This window comes from Homo sapiens, chromosome 18 (genome assembly GCF_000001405.40).
Source record: "Homo sapiens chromosome 18, GRCh38.p14 Primary Assembly".
Classification (NCBI taxonomy): domain Eukaryota; kingdom Metazoa; phylum Chordata; class Mammalia; order Primates; family Hominidae; genus Homo; species Homo sapiens.
The window spans coordinates 64,290,693-64,313,773 of record NC_000018.10 but is presented as its reverse complement, the minus strand read 5'-3'; the positions used below and the strand labels follow the sequence as shown (position 1 = coordinate 64,313,773).

Below are 23,081 nucleotides of genomic sequence, written 5' to 3'. Positions count from 1 at the left end.
GTACAAACTGCCAAGGAAACGTCTTGGTGTGACTAATTCTCCTTCACCAAGAAGATACTTTCTGAGGCTGAGGCAAGTCTCCATAGCTGAGTGGAATCTGCCACCCATTGAGGAGGATAGAAGACATTAAAAGGCCCCAAAACTGATTATTGAAATACCATTCCATGTTTAAGAGATCTGAAAAAAAAATCACAGTGGCTGTGCCGGATTGTTAAGAGTTTCCAGGGAAAACTGACCCATTAGGCCCGGAATCACAGTGCCAAGGGCCCACGATACTTTTAGGGACCCACAAAATGCCTGATTTTTCTTTAACATTTGAAGAAAAGAAAGCGCTCTTAGGTCTATCAAAAAATTTTAATATATAATAACAATTTTATTTATAACAATGTAGTAGGATATTTTTAAACTATTTCTCTAGTCTTCATTTCATTTATTCTATTTCTAATCCATCACTGCCTAAAAACAGTGAGGTAGTGAAGGATTTAAAGTGATATAAATATGTGAGCAATTTTCCTGATTTAAACTAACTTGTATCTAATTTATTAATCAGTAAACACCAACATGCTAACTGTGCCTAAGAGTTAAGATAAAAATCTAAATCAGTTGACATAAATATTTCACTTTGCTTAACATGCAGAAAGCTGATAAAAGCCCAAGTTTATGTAACTTTCTTCTCTAATGAAAGCAAAGATTATACGTTTTTCTGTCGATCACACATGCCCTTAAGTTGTGGTTTGAAAATATTTACAGATTCAAAATCTAAGTGTGAAGTAAAGAATTTGCCATGTTGTTACAGGTTTCTGGGCTACCTTATGTATCTCAGTGTTCATTGTTTCTAAATAACTTTCCATACTTCCGTCAGACATAGAATCTATAGTAGAATCTCTGCTTATCCTTATCTTTCAATAGCAAAACCAACATACTACCTCAGAAACTTTCTCTCTCTCCTCTGAGCATAAGGGCTGCAGAGCTTCGCTGCTTTTGGCTAAGATATTGTCTCTAAAGAAAATGAAAATACTACTCTAAGGGGAAAATACTTAGCCTCAAATTTTGTACTCCTTACAGTGAGGAAAGAATGTAGAGAGATTGAAGGCATTGGCTGGGGTGGTGGCTCATGCCTGTTAATACCAGCAGGCAGGCAGATCACCTGAGGTCAGGAGTTTGAGAGCAGCCTGCCCAACATGGTGAAACACCATCTCTATTAAAAATACAAAAATTAGTCGAGTTTGGTGGCACACGTTTGTAATCCCTGTTACTTAGAAGGCTGAGGCAGGAGGATTGCTTGAACCCAGGAGGCAGAGGTTGCATTGAGCTGAGATTGCACCACTGCATTCCAGCCTGGGTGACAGAGTGAGACTCCATCTCAAACAAATAAAGGAGAGAGAGAGATTGAAAGCATCAGATAATGGACATATTTAATGTAAAAAAAACTGAAAAATATAAAAGCAGAGTAACAGGCTTTAATCTTGTTCAAAGTTTCTTTCATTGACCCTATGACAATGTTAAACAATGTCTTAATCCATTCAGACTGCTGGAAAAAAAATACGATACATGGAGTAGCTTATAAACAAAGAAATGTATTTCTTTTATTTCTGGAGAGCGGGAAATTCAAGATCAAACTGCTGGCAGATTTGGTGGCTGGCGAGGACATGTTTCCTGGTTCATAGATAAAGCCTTCTTACTGTATCCTCCTCACACAGTGAGAGTGACAAACATGCTCCCTCAGGCTTATTTTAAAAGAGCCTCAGGCTTCTTTTGTTAGCCCTCATGACCTTCTCACTTCCCGAAGGCACCATTTCTTAATACTATCAAACTGGGGATTAGGTTTCAACAGGCAAATTTTGGGTGGACTTAAAAATTCACACCATAGCATTTATAAACATGTATATACATACATACATACATGTATGCCATGAACATACGTATATAAATATGCATATATTACATGCATTTTATCATGCATTATGTATATATACAACAAAACCAAGTCTAATCACACAAACGATTACTGTCTGGAATGCGACTGCGCTTCCAATGCTCTGCCACATTATTAAGTAGAAGGCAGTAAGTAACACAAAAGAAAAGATCTTGGAGCCAGCAGAGGTTTGCGTTCCGCCCAGACCCCTCCTGATTCTCCACTTTGCATGGTGGTTGTTCTTTTTACTGTTCTTTTTACCACTCATGAACACTCCTATCTAAAGCAAGTACAGATTGTGTCCAAGACTTGCATTAACCTCAACATCTCCCAATTTTTTGTGTCCTTTCCTATCTTGATAACAATTCAAAATCTCATTTGTCTCTGAAAAATCTGTTGGGCAAATCATGCCTGTATCTCAGAGTCTCATTTTTAAAACTGGACCATCAGCATTAAACCTTCCATTGCAGTGGAGGAGAGGGAGAGGAGATTTGATTTCTGGGGAAAGCCTCATGTAGACTAGCAGAAAAGAGACACTATTGAGGCTTTACACTTTCCCACATCAGAGACGTCCTTCATGTTCCCTAAACAACTGTGTGCATTATTAAGCATTGATCCTATGCAATGATCACTGCACTTTATCTATCTTCATTCATAGGATTTGAAGTCATTTATGCAAGCCTTAATATCTTTAATGAATAAGTAATGAATTCACATTTATCTAGGGTTGAAATTGAGTTTCTGCAATCTTTTACCATTTGACAATCATTTATTCTCTGGTGGCCCACTTTTAAAATTTTCTTGGCCCACTCAGCCTCCAGATAGAAAAAAGAAGTCTGAAAAAAGGATGACTTTTCTGCTCTCCTGACAGCGTAAGTGTATGAGAACATTAGAGGAGCAAGCAAAATGACATCATTCCCATTTTCTTATCTAGAACGTCTCAAATGTGGCTGATCATTTGAATCATTCTATTGCTATTGCTATTAGGGCTGACCCCCAGAATCCCCAAAACAGATACCACCAAAGCTAACGAATTATAACCTCTAGGGGATGAGCCCGGACTTCCTGCATTTTGTTTTGTTTTGATTTTTAACAAGTATTTCCGGTGATTATTTAATCAGGCAAAACTGGGAAACTGATCTAGTCCAAAGTAGGGAAGACTATTTAAACTTCTCTCATGTCATAGACCATTTTGAATGTATTGTATACATGTTTTTAACTAATCCAGAGCTAACAAATTCAGTTCTAATTGCATTTCTAACTTTTTAGGGAGTTAGCTATATCTAGGACTATTGATGAAATTCAAGTACCTGAACCCCATGAGCAAACACGTGGGGAAAAAGTGAGCTCTTCTCTTGATGCCCAAGTTTAGACAGTGCCAGAAAGCAGTGATGGACTCCATATATCATGTTCTGTAAAGAGCTCCTTCAGAGAACAAGAGATCACCCTGCACCAAAATTGGACAGAAGACTCATAAGGAATGTGGCATTTGTTGTGCTCCTAGACTCATTGCTTAATCTATAGCACTTTGGGGAAATTAAATAATTTTCGTGAAAGGCAAATATTTAAAAATAGCCCGCCTTTGAAAAAGCTGGAGCTGCCTTTGTGAGACACTGAACTGTGCTGATTTAATGTAGCCAGAAGCTTTATGAGGACAGAAGCAATCCTGGATGGACACCGGGATCACCATATGTTTTTTACTAGGAATTTCTTGGAGCTGTCACCATTATCAGCACAGGATATTCCAAGAAACTACTACCAATAGAAGTGAGATAAACTGCTGAGAGGAGCCCCCTGGGATGCTGGGCAACTGCCAACTGCCAAGAGGTGGTATCTAGAAGCTTCCAATGTGTTGCACCTCTGAGCCGTTGGTGGTAACCTCTGTAGAATGGAGCAGCCATTGGAAGGTGTACAAAAAAATCAGACCATAAGGGTATTCACTTCGTCATATTATCTAGTCTCACCCATATCATCCCAAGTAATTCTTTTTTTGTCTTGTTTTTTGAGACGAAGTCTCTCTCTGTCATCCAGGCTGGAGTGCAGTGGCACAGACTCAGCTCACTGCAGCCTCTGTCTCCCAGGTTAAAGAGAATCTTCTGCCTCAGCCTCCCGAGCAGCTGGGACTACAGGCACGCACCACCACACCAAGCTAATTTTTGTATTTTTAGTAGGGACAGGGTTTCACCATGTTGGCCAGGCTGGTCTGGAACTCCTGACCTCAGGTAATCCGCCTGCCTCATTCTCCCAAAGTGCATTATAGATGTGAGCCACCACGCCCAGCCCCAAGTAGTTCTTGATATCCTGGAGAAAATTAGATTCAAGATAAACCTTACATACTACATACATTCAACCATACATCCATTTTCATTCATCGAATATGTATAGATCCCTTAGTAGATATTGCTAGATCATTTTCTGGGTGCTGGAAAGAGTGGCATGAAGTAAGTGGATGGCTGCCTTTATTTATTTATTTTTTTAACCAAAGTTGGGCTTCTTCCAGACAAGTGTAGCAGGGTGGAGGGTGATTGTAAGTATGGACTATGTACCCTGAGTGGACAAGGAAAAAAGGTATGAACCTTGGGTGTAAAACATGACTAGAAAAAAAAAAAAAAACAAAAACAGTTTTAGGAGCAATAACTCGAAGGCCTTGTGGAACTAGATAGAGATGAATGGGGGAAGGTGGTGGTCAGTGAGTGAGATCCTTGAAATCAAGGTCTGGAAGTTATGAATTATTGTGATGACCACGGATATGACCACAGGTGAGGGAGGTGGAATGTAGAATGAAGAATTTACAGAAACTAAGGAAGTCAAGGAATAAAAACACCAAGTCCTGGATATATTGTTCATGTGGGTACTACATAGGCTTTAATTAAGCAACTTGAGTAGGTCTGAAGTTACTGGAACTCTTGTTTACAGTCTTGAACTGGGTCTCAAATACCTGAATTCCTAATAATGGATATGGAAACAAGCACACATGTAGAAACCATAAGCAACAATCTAGAAAGTGTTATAAGGTTAGTAAATATACCTGTTAGAAATGTACAAATCCCTGCCTATTTCAATGTCTTTCACCTATCTAAAGAAGCACCTGCAATTCTGACCATTGAGTTTCTTCTTCAGATAAAGACATTGTCTCCCACAGGCTTGCTTTTTAGATTGGTGCAAAAGTAACTGTGGTTTTCCTATTACCTTTAGTAGTAAAACCCCAATTACTTTTGCACCAACCTATGCAAAGTAAATATATCTAGCATAAGAAGCAAATGGTAGGATAACAACATTTACAGAACAGCAACCCATGGCAGTTTAAGTGATTAACTGCTTGTCACCACCTAGTCTGGAGCAAAACTCTAGAAAATGAGGCAACTGGAAAACAATGAGGAGAAGGCAAGGAAGGCTATCTAAGAATGACAGCTTAGCCAGGGAGTCCTCATTTCCCTAATACAGAATAGCAGAAAGCTCTGGGAAACAGCAAAGTGTAATTGGGAGTACATGGCTCAGGTGTAAAATGGAGATAATATTTCTTTTGGGGTATGAAGTTTAAATAAAATAGCACATGTTAAATATCTGGTGCTCATTAGATGGTCCATATATATCAGCCTTCTTCCTCACCTGCTCTTCTTAAATAGAATATATATTTGTATTTCAAGATGATTTTACCTACAGCAATACACACACAAATATTACTCTGAAATCTACAGACAAAAGAAATCATATCTTCCTATTTCTGTGCACCTTTTCTCGAACCATTTATTTGACTGGGTATTTAGAGTTAAATTAATCAGTCTTTTGGCTTCCTTATGAAAGCTATCCTGTCTTCAAATAAGATGTTTTTCAACAGCATATTGAATGAAAGAAGCCTTACCTGAATGAGAAAATAGTGCAGGATTCCGTTTATACTAAGTTCTAAAACAGGCTAAACTTATTTTGGATGAAAAAATATCAGAATAGAGGCTACTTTTGGAATAGGAGTGGAGGATGTGTGGAAAAGAGCACAAGAGAACTATCCAGATGATGGTAATGTGACAGCAATGTTCTATAGCTTGACGGGTTAGCGTTGCAAAACTCAGTCAATACACATTTCAGATTTGTCCATTTCATATATAAATCAAAAGAAAAACTATAAGCAAATATTGACCTGTAATTAGTCATATACATACTAAAGTATTTGGGAGAAAACTGATGTAGGTATATTACTTTTTTGTGCTTTCAAAAAACAAGATAAACTGATGAATGTGTAGAAGGATGTATAAGTATGTAATAAAACACTTAAAAATCCATTGTTAAAATCTAGGTGGTGGCTATACAGGTTTCTACTGGAAAATTCTTTCAATTTTAAATGTTTAACTGAAACATTTTCATAATAAAATACTAGAAAAAATGAGATATTTTCTCCCTCATCTTTTCCCGGTTCACATTCCAATTCTTGATGAAAATATTGACATTCTTTATAGTTCTTACCAATGAACATTTAAAAAATGGCTACATCCAAGGGTGAAACAAATGCGTTTTCATCAATAGAGAAACATATGTTCAGCCCTTAGGTAGTGCCTGTGGAAAACATTTAATATTGCGGGGCTTCTTGTCATTTCTCAATAGTTGTCAGATTGTCAACTCCACATCCCAGGTGCTCAGCAAACTGTAATTTCCAGAGCTCTCTGGCAGAGGGCATATAGATCTATCCAGCTGACCTCACGTAAATATTGTAGAAATCTGTCTTCCATGAAAAGGGAGAAAAAACTAAAAGGATCTGAAATTGCCAATATTTTAGTTGCTCAGGTGTTCAGGTTTCATGGCTCCCTCAAATGCAATACATTTTTACAAATATAGAAACTCTTTCTCCCTGACCTAGCTTATGGACTAAGGAGCCTTGGGTTTCAAATATTCAAAATATTTCAGATGATAATCTCAGTTCCCAAAAGATATTTTTAATAGAGCCACTCTAACTTTTAAAGATCAAAGAGGAAGGAAATGACATGTGACACCATTATGGAATTTATCATTCCTTCCTCCTTGAAACAATATTCACGCTACCTTTCTTATTTCTCATCCTTATTCCTCCTTGTCTCTTATTTTTGGGGTGCTCCTAGTCTCAGTTTAGGGGCCTCTTCCTTTTCCTATTTGCATTCACACTTAAGCTGATCATAGTTACGTACTTTCGTAACATTTTAAATATCATCTATGTGCTCATGATCAATATATATCATTTAATCCCAAACCTCTTCTCTGATTTCCAGTCATGTATGCTCAACTGTCTACTCAGTATGTCCAATTGCATGTCTATTAGGCACTGCCAACTTAATATGTTGAAAACTAAGCTCTTGAGCTTCCCCCAAGATCTGATTCTCCTAAAGTTTCCTCCTTATTTACATAACAGCAATTCCAACCTTGCATGTGCTCTGACAACAGCTTTTGGAGTCATCTTTAGCTCCTTTCACTCTTGCACAGACCACATCTAATCTGTCAACCCATCCTCACAACTTCGCCCTCTAAATATACATAGTGTCCAACCTTTTCTCACACCCTCCATTGCTCCTTGGTCTGGGCCACCATGATCATGATTTTCCAGGTGAACCACTACAGGCTCCTAGACTAATCTCCCTGCTTCTGCCCTTACCCCCCTTCCATCTATTTATTCACAATCTAACAACCAGAATGCCTTTGTTAAATATGAATGGAAATAGCTCACTCCTCTGCTCAAAATAATCTAATAGGTTCCCTTTTCATGCAAAATAAAATCCAAAATCATCAAAAGCATCTACAAGTTTCCACACAATTTGGTCCCCCATCTCCACCTAATCTCCTATGACCCTTCCCCTCTCACTCAGCTCCAGCTATACAGGACTTGCTACTGAGATTCCTCATCTGTGCCTTCACTGCGCACAAGCTATTTCTTCTTGGAACACCCCTCATTCACAAAGCTTGTTCTCTCACGTTCATCAGACCTCTGCTCAAATGTCAGTGTAGCAGTTAGCTCTTCCCTGACTATACTGCTTAAAACTATGTGCAGCTACCCCTTCCCACAACACTCCCTACCTTCTCTCTTTGCTTTATTTTTCTCTGTAACACTCATCACCATCTAACATATTAGGTATGTATGTTTTGCCTTCATAGCCATATTAAAGTACATGGTCAATGAGGTCAGGGATTTTTGTCTGTTTTATTAATTTCTGATCCCTAGACCTTAGAAAAGGACACAACATATATTTTTAAATACATGAATGAATTGAGAACTTAACTTCACAAATATATCATTTAAATTAATCAAGAATAATTAAGAAATTAAGAATAACATAGAAGGCCACAATATCTCTATTTCAGCCTGCTCAGATCTATTACAACAACCTCATTGGGTCCCACCCTACCCTGAATGAGTCAGGAAAAAGGATACTCACATTAATTCTTTAATGTATATCTTTCTTTATCTTCTTTTTATATCATTGACAGCAGCTTATCTTATTTATCTACCCAAGGAAAGATCTAGCTTCTATTTCCCTTGATTCTAATCTCAAGTGGTCATATGCGTCTCTGAATTCTCCAGGTAATGTATTTGATTTTGTCACTGTCTTAAACTGACTTAACCCAATTTGATGGTCAGAACCTTCGGTAAATATTATTAGCCTTCAGTGGCTGTACTTCACAGCAATATGCCTCACTCTCATATCACTGCTGTAAGATGGTGTTTGACAATGAAAGCAAGTCTTGTGCAAAATAATCACACTAAATTAGTAACAGCACTAATCTAAAACCCTTTATTAGCAAATAGCCACAGTGCTGCAGCCTATTTGCAGTTCAGAAAAGGTCTTCTTCATTGTTCTCTGATGTAACTAACACCTTCTATGAAGGCTGGTTCAAAACGGGCACCACCAAGTTCTTTAGGCAAGCTGAGCAAGCCGTTTAGTTAAGTGGGAAAGGAAATAGGGTCATTCCAGAAGCGGAAACGTACAGCACCACACACCACACCAAATGTACATCATGCCACCTGTCTTTAATGTTTAAAGAAAGTTGGCATGATCTTTTAGGAGCTAAACAACAAATCAACTGCTCTCAGATGAATACTGTGCAAAACAAGTTCTTGACCTCAAGGACTGAACTAACAGAATAGAGTAAGGACTGTTGAACTTGGTGGGTTTTGCACAGTATTCATTCGTGGGCGGTAGATCTGTTGTTTAACTCCTAAAAGATCATGCCACCTGTCTTTAAACATAATTCTATAAATCAACAAAATAGGCTACATTTTTAATACAGATTATGGTTAATTTTTCCATATATTTACACATCATATTACTTACCTAGAATATTTTAAATGAGTCAGCACAACACAACACTCAGAACAGATGTATTTCAGGATTTGATCAAGCTTGATAAAATGTCACAATTTAAATTATTTCTTCTAAATTTTTAACTCTCACAACTTGATTTATACCAAAGGCACCCAAAAGTGTACTTGTCACCATAAAGTGAATTTTGATAAAGGATGAAGATTAAGGTAAAAGCATGGACATAGAGACATTTTAGAATCGAAGAAAATCTAAAGACAATCCTCTTCAGACCATTTTAATTATAGCTGAGGAAATAGACCAAAGATGTTAAGAAATTTGTCTTCACTCACAAAATGACTCAAAGAAGAATAAGGTCCACAATCCAGTGCAGTGATTCTAAGTCTCCAATTAACTTTCTCTAAAATCCTATTAGAACTTGATGTGTTTTCAGAGGTACTGGGAAAACCCCTCAGTCAGTCACTCCAAAAATAAATCTATTCATTCTGCTTCTCATTAAGTTATTTTTGAACAGTCACACATCCATTCCACCTTTGAAGACTTGCAAAATGCCTGCCTCTGTGTTATACAGTTGATCAAGCATATTAAAATAAAGAAGGATCCCACTCATTACTAAAGAAGAGACAATAAGTACTCCCTGGAAAGTGAATGTTCCATATCACTTACTCAGTGCTAAGATTTTCTTTCCTTTATTTTCCACACTTATGGACACTTAGGGGCCAAGAAATGGAGGAAAACCAACCATTCCATTAGTATGCAAACGCCAGCCTAACCACGGTGTAAATTTACCTTCAGATACTTGGATGTGCAGGGACTGCAAATAAGCTGCAGACTAAATTTGGCCTCAGAAATTTCTTTGCCAGACCAGCACAGTATCAAAAAATGTAAAAAGTGAAAGCACCCATTTTCTATTGACTTGTACTGGTTATTTCAGTTATTTGTCTTATCAACAGGCTGTTGCAGGCATTTGAGTATGTGGCTTCTGTGTGCCACACAGTAATGATAAATATGTACCTAGAATGATGGATTAGAATCTAAACCCCTCCAAGGGCTATTGTTGTTACCTTGAGCAAGTTCTTAATCTCTCGCTGGCCTGGTTTCCTCACTGATAATATGGGGAGGATGACAATAGTACCTAACTCACTGTATTGCTGAGGATACATGAGATAAAGCACTTAGAGTGTTCTTGGCTACGCTAATATCTCTTGGGCTTTTACTTTGTGCCCAGCATGGTATGAAGCAATTTATATGCGTTGTCTCATTTATGAGGTATATATTATTATCTCCATTATGCACATAAGGAAACTGAGTCTTAAAATTCATATTACAGTAGTTTCCCCCTTATCTGAGGGGAATATGCACCAAGATCCCCAGTGGATGCATGAAACAACAGATACGACTAAACCCTATGTATGTCTTTTCCTATACATACATATCTATGTTAAAGTTTAATTTATAAATTAGGCACAGCAAGAGGTTATTAACAATAAATAATATAATGGAACAATTATAACAATGTACTACAATAAAAGTTACACGAATGTGTTCTGTTTCTCTCTTACTCTCTATGCCTTTCTCTCTTAAAATATCTTATTGTACTACCCCCATCCTTCTTCTTAGGATGATATGAGGTGATGTATTGCCTAGGTGATGAGAGGAAGTGAAGTGAATGACAGGCATTGTGACATAGCATTAGGCTACTATTGACCTTCTGTATTCCTGAATCAGTGTAACCATCCTTTGCTTGCAGTAAATGGCTTGGCGTCACTTGTTTCAGGGGATCCTTTGCTAAAGTTTCCATAAAGGCTCGATGCTTTCTGGTGCAACACATTGCCATCAATTGAGATTTTTGTCTGTTCATGTCTTCTACCCACAAATAGAATCCCTTTTTCATCTTAACTACTTATTGCTTACTTTGGCCACAAGTTTTGCAGTTTGAGGTGTGACAGCAAAACTAGCACAAATTTCTTTTCGTTCTTCACAATATTATCGATAGACGATTTGTTCTTATTATAGATCTTAGCAACTTCAGCATATAACTTTTTTTCTCTATTGAGAACTCACATTTGTACTTAGAGGAACACTTTACTGCTTCTCCTTGGCATATCCGATTTGCCAGCATCACCACTCTTGCACTTTGGAACCATTATGAAGTAAAATAAGAGTTACTTTAACACAAGCACTGTGATGCTCTACAAGTCAATCTGATAACCCAGAGGACTACCAAGTGACTGACAGAAGGGGTGCATCTATGGTGTGGATATACTGGATGAAGGAGTGATTTGCGTCCTGGGTAAGACAGAGCAAGATAGTATGAGATTTCATCATAATACTCAGAATGGAATGTAATTTAAAAGTTAGAAAATGTTTCTTTATAGAATTTTCTAGTTAATATTTTAGGACCATGCTGATTGCAAGTAACTGAAACCATGGAAAGCTAAACCTCAGATAAAAGGATGACTACACTATTTTACCAAAGATTCTATAATTAATAAATAGTGGAATAAGGATTTGAGTGAAAGCAATCTGACATCACAGCCCAATTCTTAGCACTGTGTGCTGAACACTCAGTTAATTTCACTTAGCAACACACTTCCATGCCACTATGTCCCTTCTATATTTACCAAACATTTGGATTTGATTTTGTAATATGTCTCTCTGATATGCAATAGCTGCATTCTTATATGAGTCAAATGGCAAATCTATTATTTTTCTCTCACCCTTTGCTCCATTTACAACAGCTGATGACCAATAACCATTCATTTCACTCTCAAAAGTCATCTTTTTTTTTTTTTTTCTGCACGATTTCTCTCTTCAAGAACTACTTGCGGCTGGGCACGGTGGCTCACACCTGTAATTCCAGCACTTTGGGAGGCCAAAGCATGAGGAACACCTGAGGTCAGGAGTTCCAGACCAGCCTGGCCAACACGGTGAAAACTCGTCTCTACCAAAAATATAAAAATTAGCTGGGCATGGTGGCATGTGCCTGTAATCCCAGCTACTCGAAAGGCTGAGGCAGGAGAATTGCTTCAACCTGGGAGGCGAAGGCTGCAGTGAACTGAGATAGTGCCACTGCACTCCAGCCTGGGCAACAGAGCAAGACTCTGTCTCAAAAAAAAAAAAAAAAAAAGCTACTTGGATAATGGGAAAATATGTGCATTTTGTTGCATTCAGGTGTAAGGAACACATGAAGGCACACTATTTTCATTAATTTTCATTATGGTCTTCAGATTTATAAAGGTTTGGTCCACAGAACATATCAACTAGCTCTTTTGCAAGTCACCTAAATAAAGATACAAGGAACTAATCATACTGGATCATACAGAATTTGAGCCCAATAGCAGAACAAAAATCTTGCTAAGAAAAAATTTTATTAGGCAAAAGTCTGAAATGTTATTCAATAGCAGCAACACTGAGGGTGTGCAGGAAATTTTGAAATAAGATGAATATTACAACCTGAACAAGCTCTAAAATTTATCAATTCGTACTTCAGAATGCTTTATGAAGTTTTTTCTAGCTCATAGATTCTATTATCTAATTATTAAAGGAATTTAAAGTTATCTTTGTCATCTTCAAATTTTTAAAAGAATCTTATATTAAATAAATTAAATGTTTACCAAGGCTTATAGCTGTGTAATAACTATCTATTTGAAAGGACAAAAATTTTATATTTTATTCATAAACTTGATCATTTATAAATCTGAGCTTCTCACATTGTAGTTCTTTCTAAGACTGGAGAAGAGTGGTTTCCATCTAATTTATAATTGTGGAACCTGCCTCATAATGTATCTTTTGCTTTCCAATGGCAACTTCAGAGTTTTCTTGGTAGAATCCATCTGTAAGGCTTATTTCATCATCTTCTCTGCTTGTAGATTATGGACTGGCATGTCATAAACCCAACTTGAAGTAGAAATTCTTACTGTATTGTAAAATAGCTTTTCATGTGATTTTTGTTTTTTCCAGCACCTGGGTTCCTAGGCATTTTCTGGGAACCAAAAAGATGGCATAGAGATCTCTCTTCCACATATAAAATACTTTGGACTTGGTTACTCACAGACATGAAAGATAACCCAAAGACAAAACAAAGGAAGGTGTACAGCAGATGTTCCATGCTTTCTAAGTTAGGAAATGTCTAATCCTTCAGACTAGGAAAATGAGAGCAAAACGATAGAATCACAGAGCAAAACAGCAAAGACACCTCAAGGGATTATCTGGGGGGTTGCCTTTCAGGTAACCAAAACAGTTCCCTTGAAACCTTAACCGTCCTGCTTAAGGTTATACGGGCAGTACAGCCAAGGAAAATTTGACCCTGCATCCCAGGCTATTAACACAGAATTCTTTTCACTCTCTACACTGTGCCCAGTTGACAGATTTAACATAGCTTTAGCACATGGGCTTTTCAAAGTGATATAACTTAATCTCTTGTAGTAGTACCTATGTGAGTAACATCATCATATCCTTGACTCAGGCACTTTTTCTGTCTTTAATTGGCAATAAGTTCCAACTGTTTATGGACGCTTATAAGAAAAGTCATCCAATTGCTGCTTCACAAAATAGCATATACTTAAAGTATATTTTGTTAATAAAACATTTGTGAAGTTGCCAACATTTTAAAAATAATTTTAGAGCATTTGGGAGACAAAACACCACGATTCATGTGGAAAGGCTTGCAAAGCCCATGAAGTTCCTTAAATAGCTATGAGACCTCCTACTGTTTATGTTTTATTTGTGATCTTGTAAGACAGATTTGTTGCTTCACTTCAGCCTTGTTGTTATTTGTGTTCACAACAATGTACAGGCTATATAAACTTAAATCTACCTCCCCAGCAAAATATGTATTGGAGGTACGTACTTATAAAATTTTTCAATGTATAATTTTCGTCAAGGGTTTTTATTATTGTTATTATCATTGTTTGGGGGGACTTTGTAACTAGTAACAGATTACACATAAAATCCCAAAGAAACCAAGAATTTAAAAAATGAGAGAGATTTTTATATTTTCTAAAATGAAGTCTTTTACTGTTAGACAAAGTACCTTGGGCCAGGTTTGTACATTTTTTGCTTTGTTCTTTTATGTGTATTATTTATTTTTTAGATGTAACCTAAGTTGCTTCTTTATTTTTAAAATCTGTAGGCTATAAAAGATTTCCATTTAGGTTTACTTTTTTGTTGAGCATGTAAAATTTATGCCATCTACTTTAATTTTCTATATAGAAGCATATTCATGAAAGAATTTCCTGTATATTATTTGTTGCTTTAAATATTTCTCCTATTTATCTTAGCTTTTGATATATTGTTAATATTTGACTCAAAATATTTGGTATTCTGCTTTGACCTTGCTCTTTATGAGTTCAAATATGTGATTATTCTATTTTTATAAGTATGTTTTACACTCTCCAGAATAAAATGCAATTATAATGATAAAAGTATTGAACTTTCACTTCAATTTGATAGCCAAAATCTCTCTTGTGACATCTGAACACATTTGAACAAATAAAGGTTAAAAATACCGGCCTATACCCAACAGTAACCTCCCATACTTTATAGGAAAATGAAGCATTCGAGCCTTGGAGTCAAGAAACCTGTGCTCCAGTCATTGTCGGGGTTTTATATTATTATAACATTTTTTCTGAAAATCTCAAAACCACTTGTGATTTCCATTTTTTAATCTATTAGATGTTGATGATAATACCTCTGCTATCCCCTTACCGAATTTGTATATGTAATTATTAAGTACCTCTTATATTCCTAATATTTACCTGATGCTGCCTTTTTTTTTTTTTTTTTTTGAGATGGAGTCTCGCTTTGTCGCCCAGGCTGGAGTGCAGTGGCGCGATCTCGGCTCACTGCAAGCTCCGCCTGCCTGGTTCACACCATTCTCCTGCCTCAGCCTCCCGAGTAGCTGGGACTACAGGCGCCCGCCACCATGCCCGGCTAATTTTTTGTATTTTTACTAGAGAAGGGGTTTCACCGTGTTAGCCAGGATTGTCTCTATCTCCTGACCTCGTGATCCGCCCACCTTTTAGTCTTCATCTGAATGTATATTAATCACAAGCAGGTTTTCTTATCTCTAGATCATAGAGGAAGAAACAAAGGTTCAGAGAAGTTAGTCTTATTTTTAAGTGGCAGAATTGGAGTTTACCTCAACTGCCTAATGACATGCCCTTATCTAGTGTATAAGTTGGAGGAAGAGAAAACACAAGTGGTTTTCAGTTTTATTTCATTTTTTTAAATTTAATCTATATGTTATCAAAAAATAAAGTCTCCTGAATATTGATAAGAATTTTCCAAAAGTATTCCTCATACATTGAAATACATTGGCCCATATTTTAACATCAGTATGCATTTCTTATACAGTTTGATGCTCCTGCATTTCAAAGCACAAGATTATGATCTTTTGATTTTAAAAGATGAAATTCTGCCATGCATTCTGTTGATTATTTCCTTTGCCATGCAGAAACTTTCTAGTATGATGTAGTCCTGCTTATTTTGGTTGTGTTGTCTGTGCTTTTGGTGTCATATCTATGACATTATTGCCAAGACCAATGTCACAGAGTGTTTCTCTGGCTTTTCTTGTAGAGGTTTTACATTTAAGTCTTCAATCCATTTTGAGTTAGTTTTTGTGTATGGTGTAAGATAAGAATCAAATTTCATTCTTCTGCGTGTGGATATCCAGTTTTCCTAACACCATTTGTTGAAGAGACTATTCTTTCTCCATTGTGTATTCTTGGCATCCTTGTTGAAGATCAGTTCACCATATAAATGTGGGTTTATTTCTGCACTCTTTATCCTGTTCCATTGGTCCATATGTCCATCTCTATGCTAGTATCACAATGTTTTGATTACTATAGATTTCTATTATAGTTTGAAATCAGGCAGTGTAATTCCTTCAGATTTGTCCTTGCTTCTCAAGCTTGATTTAGCTATTTGCAAAATAATCAAGAGATTGAAAAAGCAACCTACAGAATGGGAGAAAATATTTGAAAACTATGTATCTGATAAGGGGTTAATCTTTGAAATATATAAGAAATTCCCATAATGTCAATAATAAAGTTAATAACTCAATTAAAAAATGGGCTAAAGACATATATAGACATTTTTCTAAAGACATGCTAATGGCCAGGAGACAAATGAAAAACACCGTTAGTCATCATGGAAATGCAAATTGAAAACACAATGAGATATTACTTCACACATGTCAGAATGGCTGTTATCAAAAAAAGAGAAAAAAAGTGTTGACAAGAATGTACAAAAATTAGAATCCTTGGACACCGTTGGTGGGAATACAAAATAGTGCAGCCCCTGTGGAAAATAATATGGATGTTCCTCAAAAAAATTAAAAATAGAGCTACCATATGATCCGGCAATCTTACTTATTTGCATCTATCTAAAAGTATTAAAACCAAGATCTTAATTGATCTTGCAGCAGTATTTATTGCAGCAGTATTTATTGCAGCAGTATTTACCATAGCGAAGATGTATAAAAAACCATACATGGATAAATTGATAAAGAAAATGTTGTATATAAACATAAGGAAATACTATTTAGTCTTACAAAAAGAGTTCTGAAATAATAACAGCATGATGAACCTTGAGGACATGCTGAGTGAAATAAGCTTGCCACAGAAGGACAAACTGCATGATTCCACTTACGGGAATTATCATATATAGTCAAATTCATAGAATCAAAGTGTGGAATGGTAGTTGCCAAGGGCTAGAGGGGGAAATGAGGACTTATTAATTAATGGGCACAAAGTTTTAGTTAAGCAAGATAAATAAGCTCTAGAGATCTGCTGTAGATCATTGTACCTATTGTTAACAATAGTGTATCATGAACTTAACTTCTTGGAGAGTAGATCTTATGTTAAATGTTCTTACCACAATGAAATAAAATTTTAAAAGAAAGAGAAAATACAATGTAATCTCTCTCTACCCCAAAAGAAAATAATTCTACGCAACAATCAAATGGGCAGAGCAAAACACAGGTCTTCCCAAAGAAGAACTTCTCCTCAATATCTATTCATTATTTACTAAACATCTACTTAATACCTATGATTTGCAATGCATTCTGGAGCCACATAAAATATGGTCATAAAATATAAAATTTGGAAATTGAAATGTTCTTTAGGGATCATTTAGCACAACTGTTTCATTCAACAAATGAAAAACTTATTTTATTTTTGAGATGGAGTTTCGCTCTTGTTGCCCAGGCTGGAGTGCAGTGGTGCATCTCGGCTCAAAGCAATCTCTGCCTCCCGGGTTCAAGTGATTCTCCTGTCTCAGCCTCCTGAGTAGCTGGGATTACAGGCACCCGCCACTATGCCCAACTAACTTTTTGGTATTTTTCGTAGAGACGGGATTTCACCATGTTGGCCAGGCTGGTCTCGAACTTCTGACCTCAAGTGATTCACCCGCCTCGGCCTCCCAAAGTGCTGGGATTGCAGGCATGAGCCACCACGCCTGGCCAAAAAACTTATTTGAAAAAACAGGCATTCAAAATTACCTATGCTCTAAGTCTCTTACATCTAGATCAATAGTGCTGCCACAGCAGTTTTCAAAACATTTGTTGCTTAATACTTCTTTATAACATATAATGCCAGCAGGCCATCACACCACACATTCAATTTAGAGGTAAAAAATCCTATCCCAGCCAGATGATTTTTCATGCATGAATGTAACAGAGAGGTATTTTCAGACACTCAAGAATAGAATGAACATTTTTATTCTTTTTTTTTTTTTTTTTTTTTTGAGACAGAGTCTTCCTCTGTCGCCCAGGCTGAAGTGCAGTGGCGCGATCTCGGCTCACTGCAAGCTCCACCTCCCAGGTTCACGCCATTCTTCTGCCTCAGCCTCCCGAGTAGCTGGGACTACAGGTGCCTGCCACCATGCCCGGCTAATTTTTTGTAATTTTAGTAGAGGCTAATTTTTTGTATTTTTAGTAGCGATGGGGTTTCACCGTGTTAGCCAGGATGATCTCGATCTCCTGACCTCGTGATCCACCCGCCTCGGCCTCCCAAAGTGCTGGGACTACAGGCGTGAGCCACTGCACCCGGCCTGAACATTTTTCTTGAAACATAACTTGCTTGACGCAAGTACGTTATAATACTAGTAAATCTAAGAATATGCAAATGACCACTCTACTTTTATATTTTTTAAAAGACTAGTGGTAATCAAATAATAAAAGCAGAAATAAAAATTTAAAAGTAGAGTGGTTTTATATATAAATCACTTGTGATTTATATCTTTAAAAGACTAATAGTAATAAAATAATAAAGGCAGAAATAAATAATTTAAATCATGGGTGCTTTCAATTCCCCGTGCTTCACAAGGAGACATGCTGTTTATTGAAACACACTAATTACACATTGCTGAGGTGATCTCATACACTAGCCCTGTGCATCAGGAATTCACCCCGTGGGCTATGCATCCGAATGGAAACTACCTTAAATGTTCACCAAGCCTAGTGTCATGTTCTTATCAAACGTCACAAAACACATGACATAATGTCCACAAATCATGAGGTGTCCTCTTATTGCCAAAGATACATAGGAAATAAAATTAATTTTTGGTCAAATAGAAAAGCTTCTTTCACAGACTTATTGCTGCAATATCAAACTTCTGTGAAAAAGATAAACTATTATCTGGGAAAAGTTTTCATGTTATTTGAAAGTTAAATTAAAATCTTTAAAAATGGAAGATAACTGTCACAATTTACTTTTGTTTTCCCTTTGAGTTTGTTTTTGTATCTTAAGCATTTAAAGACGGCATCCAACAAATTAGAACTCACTTTGAAAAACACACTTTCGTTCCTTTATTTTTAGCATTTTACTTACTGCCCATCAAGTTCCACTTCCACTATGCTTTATATTTACATATATATGCCTCTATTTGAGCAAGGTAATTTCATTCCTTGAAATGCAGAACTCCATGTATTAGATAGCTTCCTTTTTAAAGAAATGAGAAATTCTGGAATAATTAAATTACTTCTTAAAACTTAAAAAATTTGTTACTGACAATGCTCAGATCGGACCAAATTCTCTTGCTTACATATTAATACTCTACCTGTTCATGGACTGATCTAAAATTTCCACTCAATTTTAAATCTTCTTTTTCGCAGAAAATTTTATTTGGATCATTATCTTTGTCTTATCTTTATTATCAAGGATTCTGACTGTCTTGGGGAATTGGAAAGTTTAAGTATAATTTTCAGGAAAAAAAAATCATGTCTCTCACACAAATACAAAATGATCACATGTAAAAAAATTTATTTAACTCATCATTGATGGAGAGCAGTAAGATGTTATGACTGGTTCAAAGTGTGTTTTAGAAGCTTGAGTATTTATGGAGTGGTGAGATTCCTGGGTTAGATACAAAATTAGCACATACCCCACAAAGCCATAAATGTTTGGGCTGACTTTCTAGACAATCCTTCACTCCCACGTGATATTTAATTACATGCCACTCACCCTTTTGTTTAGGTTCATCTTTGACATAATTTTTCTGCCAGAGGTAATTTAAAAACTATGCAAATATCATCAAAATTCAAGAACAGATTTTTTTTCATATGGTCAAAAATATGTAGTTTTCTCACTGAAATCAATGCTATGCATATGTAGCTCAGAGTCCCCATCCTTTTCAGCAATTCCTCTCAGAATCTATACAAATATGAAGAGCAAATGGAAAAAAGGTAGTTATTAGATTTCACAGGAATGTTATTGAAATTAACTTTGAAATACATGCAACTGATAAATCACATATTCCCTTTAAAATATTAAGAAGAACAGACAAGTAGTGAAAGGGTTTGTGTCTGTGAAGAGGGAGGAATAGTTCCTTCAGGAAGTCCACAGGAAGAGTAGCAGTCAGAACTAAATATGAATACTTCAGACGGGGATTAAGTTTCCTTAAAGGCCATGAGATAGTTGAAGCCTATATATAATCATTTGTACTTCTCTGATAAAACTCAATTCCAAGAAAACTTAGACATAATTGCTCCCACATTTGAAATTTGTGTAATGAATTGCTGATTGAAATTCAATGACTTTCAAAAGTCTGATTTTTTCCCATGTCAGTTTCTTTGAAGATGTATTGATGTTGAGAAAATGATTCAACGCTTCGAATGCAATTCAACATAGTATATGCAATTTTCAGTTCATTGAAGCAGAATTGAGCTCAAATATGTGGATTGGTATTTATATCTATAGGGAGGGGAATGTCTTTCCTTCTCTTTTAGGTTCTGATGTACAAAGCATTTTGATGACTTAGATACATTTCTTTTAATCAACTTTGAAGACAAATCAGAAATATTTGCTAAAATTATTGGAAACTTTTTTTAACCTACTTCTGAAAAAGAACTTGACTCTTGAATGGACATTCCCATAGTAGTAAAGAATAGCAGTATTACTTGGCGAAAATGTGGAAACTAGATTTTCATACAACCACTCCTAATCATTTTAAATATATACAAAAATATGTATCTGGAAATATAAGAAAGAGTTGTATTACTAGGAACAGCAGTCTAGAAGAAAACTCTATTTTTTTTTTTTTGTAATCTTACAAAAACATTCTAATGAGTAGTTGGACAGGGGAGACATGAATAATATACCATAAAACCTCATTGAAAATCCCAGCCCCATGGCTGCCCTTGCCACATGGAGGGCAGTTATTCCTCAGAACTCTAATTATCTCACAGCCACATCCCACCTCTGAAACTCTCCAAAGCCCTCATCTACACCAGCTGCTTTCCTGTTTGTTACTTCTCCAAGCTTCCTGGATCTTGATTTCACTCTCTTACCAGTTCTCACCACCTTGGTTACTGCCCTCTGTTACATAATGAGGGTAGAACCAGGAGAAAGGGGGAATTTCAAGTGGGGAATGTCAGGATACTCCTCAGAGAGAGGAGAAGGGGTAAGGTTGTTTTATTATTTTTATTGTCGTATATTATAATATATTTTTCTCCCTGTTACCCATGGAACCATTTCAGGTTGGGTGGTTTTGTGGATTTTTTTGTTTTTTTCTTCATGGCCATCAAGACGGAGGAAACAGAACATTGTAACCAATTTATTTTCTGATTCATGTTTTAATGATCATGAATTATCTTTCATTCCTGCCATGCTGCAGATTATTCCATGGCCATCTTCTTTACTCACAGTTTCTTGTGCCTAGAAAATCTTTTCACTTTTTATTTTCACCTTGCTAACTCAAACTCCTTAAAGTCTCTACAAAGTCGCTTCCCAAAGGCTGCTCTGTTCCCAACCCGTGCTGAGCGCCCATCTGGATGTTCCCATTGCACCCCACATGCTCTCTGATTATAACAGTGGCTGCATTATATTACCATGACCCGTCGAGGCATATTAGAGGGAAGCTTCTGAGTTTGTTTTTGTGTGTTGTATTCCCAGTGCTCCCTGCAGAGTGGGCTGGGGTGCATAGTAGGGGCTCAATGCAATTACGTTGATCAGAATTGAACTGAACTGAAATGAAAAGGAATAAAAGAATAGAAGGTAGAAAATGGTCTGGTCATCCAGGACTGAAGACAGAACAGGAACAGTCTCCCACATGAGCACTGAGACTCAGGTGGGGAACACTATAGACTGTTTCTGTGGCTTGCTTTGGCCAATAAAAAAAGGCAGAAGTGACAATATGTTATTGGGGCGTTGATCGCAGTGGCCTTGTTTGGTTTCTTCTGTTCTATTTTGCTTCTGTTACTGCCATGAGTAGACCATGCCTTGGTGTATAGAGAGAAAAAACAAACAGCTTCCCCTCCTATATGTTCAACATTCGCTGCAGAATACTTCTGTGGCCATATGTGTGGGGATTTTTCTCCACATCAAATAATTTTGAGATACCAACTGGGTGTCCCAGTTTGATTCAATTCCAACACTAATCTGAGTTGTGCAGACACCCACAGGTTAAAGGCTCAATCTCATATGACTGCCCCTCTGCCACAATTTCAACTACAAATCACAAGAAGTAGGTTCCCTGCTTACCCACAACTCTGCCTCACTTGTATAACAAATCAGAGGTTTCCATGACCCCATTCTTGGGTTCAGTTAATTTGTTAGAGCAGCTCACAGAACTCACTTGTTTTTTTTTGTTTTTGTTTTTACCAGTTTTTTATCTTAGTAAAGGACATGATAAAGGATACAATTTGCTATGGTTCGAATATTTGACACATCCATATCTCATGTTAAAATTTGATTCCTGGCCAGGCACAGTGGCTCATCTCTCTGATCCCAGTGCTTTGGGAGGCAAAGGTGGATGGGTCACTTGAGGCCAGGAGTTTGAGACCAGCCTGGGAAACATGCAAAACGCCGTTTCTACAAAAAAACTATAAAACAGCAAGGTATGGTAGCATGCACCTGTAGTTCCAGCTAACTGGGGGGCTGAGGCAGGAAGATCACTTGAGCCCAGGAGGTCAGGGCTACAATGAGCTGTGTTCACACCAGTGCACTCCAGCCTGGGTGACAGTGTGAGACTCTGTCTCTAAGAAGAATAATAAAAATAAATAAATTAGCTGGGCATGGGGGTGTGCTTCTGTAGTCCTAGCTGCTCTGGAGGCTGAAGTGGGAGGATTGTTTGAGCCTAGCAGTTTGAGGTTACAGTGAGCTGTCATCCCACCACTGCACTCCAGCCTGAGAGACAAAGCAAGATGCTCTCTGTAAAAATAAATTTAAGGGAAAAAAAATCCTAACGTTAGAAATGGTGCCTAATAGGTAGGAAGAATCAATATGGTGAAAATGGTCATACTGCCCAAGGTAATTTATAGATTCAATGCCTTCCCCATCAAGCTACCAATGACTTTCTTCACAGAATTGGAAAAAACTATTTTAAAGTTCATATGGAACCAAAAAAGAGCCCGCATAGCCAAGTCAATCCTAAGCAAAAAGAACAAA

At 36.9% G+C, this 23,081-nt stretch overlaps 1 long non-coding RNA gene across 1 annotated transcript in view; it reads right to left on the bottom strand.

The window, feature by feature from the left end:
- The window catches only part of LINC01924 (long intergenic non-protein coding RNA 1924), a 319,511-nt gene that overhangs the window by 109,828 nt on the left and 186,602 nt on the right, over positions 1-23,081 (bottom strand). The window contains exon 5 of the long non-coding RNA NR_033881.1: positions 19,659-19,847. This is a non-coding gene — a long non-coding RNA (long intergenic non-protein coding RNA 1924). The remainder of the gene's footprint in view (positions 1-19,658; positions 19,848-23,081) is intronic.